This window comes from Homo sapiens, chromosome X (assembly GCF_000001405.40).
Source record: "Homo sapiens chromosome X, GRCh38.p14 Primary Assembly".
Lineage (NCBI taxonomy): Eukaryota > Metazoa > Chordata > Mammalia > Primates > Hominidae > Homo > Homo sapiens.
In genome coordinates this window covers 103,642,909-103,645,408 of record NC_000023.11, presented here as the reverse complement: position 1 = coordinate 103,645,408, position 2,500 = coordinate 103,642,909, and positions in this window count along the sequence as shown.

The window sequence follows — 2,500 nt, the reverse complement described above, 5'->3', positions numbered from 1 at the left end:
TTCGTAGAGATGGGGTCTTGCTATGTTGCACAAGCTTGCCTCAAGTTCCTGGGCTCAAACAATTCTCCTGCCTTGGCCTTCCAAAGTGCTGGGATTACAGGTGTGAGCCAATGCACCCAACCCAGATTATTTCTTATTGCTTGTTAACATCCCTTTCTTTCGGATTGAAGAACTCCCTTTAGCATTTCTTGTAGAACAGGTCTGGTGTTTGTGACATCCCTCAGCTTTGGATTGTCTGGGAAAGTCTTTGTTTCTCCTTCATACTTGAAGGATATTTTTGCTGAATATACTATTCTAGAGTAAAAAGGTTTTTCCTTCAGCACTTTAAGTATGTTATGCATCTCTCCTGGCCTGTAAGGTTTCCACTGAAAAGTCTGGTGCCAGATGTATAGAAGCTCCATTGGATGTTATTTGTTTCTTTTCTCTTGCTACTTTTAAAATCCTTTCTTTATCCTTGACCTATGGGAGTTTGATTATCAAATGCCTTGAAGTAGTCATCTTTAGGTTAAATCTGATTGGTGTTCTACAGCCTTCTTGTACTTGAATGTTAATATCTTTCTCTAGGTTTGGGATTTTCTCTGTTATTATCCCTTTGAATAAGCTTTCTACCCCTATCTCTTTCTCTACCTCCTCTTTAAGGCCACTAACTCTTAGATTTGCCATTTTGAGGGCAAATTTCTATTTTTTAGATCTTGAAGGCATTCTTCATTCTTTTTTTATTCTTTTTTCTTTTGTCTCCTCTGTGTATTTTCAAATAGCCTGTACTGAAGCTCACTAATTCTTCTGCTTGATCAATTCTGCTATTAAAATACTCTGATGCGTTCTTCAATATGTCAATTGCATTTTTCAACTCTAGAATGTCTGCTTTATTCTTTTAAATTATTTTACTGTCTTTGTTAAATGTATGTGATAGAATTCTGAATTCCTTCTCTGTGCTATCTTGAATTTTTTTGAGTTTCCTGAATACAGCTATTTTGAATTCTCTTTCTGAGAGGTCACATATCTCTGTTTCTCCAGTATAGGTCCTTGGTGCCGTATTTAGTTGAGTGAGGTCATGTTTTCCTGGATGATCTTGGTGCTTGTGGTTGTTTGGTGATGTCTGGGAATCATAGAGATAGGTTTTTGTTGTAGTCTTCACAGTCTGGGTTTGTTTGCACCTGTCTTTCTTGGGAAGGCTTTCCAGGTATTTGAAGGGACTTAGGCCCTGAGCCCAATAATGCTGTGGTTTTTGCAGACTTTTACAGATACTACCTTGGTGATCTTGGATAAGATCTGGAAGAATTCTCTGGATTACCATGCTGAGGATCTTGTTCTTTTCCCTTACTTTGTCCCAAACAAACAGTCTTTCTCTTTGTGCTAATCCACCTAGAGCTGGGGGTGGGATGATACATGCTCCCCTGTAGCCACCACCACTGGGACTGTACTGGGTCAGACCTGAAGCACTGGGTCTCACTGAAGGCCCATTGTGATCACTACCTGACTAGTGCCTATGTTTACTCAAGGCCTTAGGGATCTACAATCAGCAGGTGGAGAATCCAGCCAAGTTTGTGTCCTTCCCTTCAGGGTGATGAGTTCCCTCCAGGCCCCAGGCAGGTCCAGAGATGATGTCTGGGAGCCAGGGATTGGAATAAAAAACCTTAGAGATTTACCTGGTGCTCTACTGTACTGTGGGTAAGCCTGCCTTCAAACCACAAGACAAAGTCCATACCACTTTTCTCTCCCCTTTCTGCAGCTAAAGGACCCTCTCCCAGTGGCCACCAGCACCACCAGCCCCTGGGGAATTCTGCTAGACCACCACCAATGTTCACTTAAAGTTCAAGGGCTCTTCATTTAGCTTCTGGTGAATGCTGCCAGGTCTGTGACTCACCCTTTAGGACAGTGTGCTCCACTCTGGCCCAGGGCAGGTCCATAAATGCTGTCCCAGGAGCCTAGGTCTGGACTTGGGGACCCCAAAAGTCTGCTTTGTGCTCTATCCCACTGTGGCCGAGCTTGTATGTAAGGTGCAAAGCAAAGTCCTGTTTACATTTCCGTCGGCTTTTCTGAAGCAGAAGGAGTCTTTCATGGTAGTCACCACAGCATGGAATGTGCTGAATTTAATTTGAGGCCAGCACATCTCAGAGTCTCACCCAAGACCCACAGCATACAACCTGAGTATCACTGTTGGCTATTAAGGGCCCAAGGGCTCTTTAGTCAGCAGGTGATGGATTCTGCCAGGATTGGGCCCTTCCCTTCAAGGGAGCAGGTTCTTTTATGGCCAAGGATACGTCTAGAAATGTCATTTTGGAGCTAGGGCATGGAATAGGTGCCTCATGACTCTGTCCAGTGCCCTGTCCTATTGTGACTGAGCTGGTATCCAATACAGAAGACAAAGTCTTCTTTACTTTTCACTCTCTTTTATTCAAACAGAAAAGAAGGAGTCACTTTCGTTGCTGCAAGCTGAGCTACCTGAGGTAGGGGAGGGGTGGTGCAAACACTCCCCTAGCTGCTCTGGCTGTTGTCT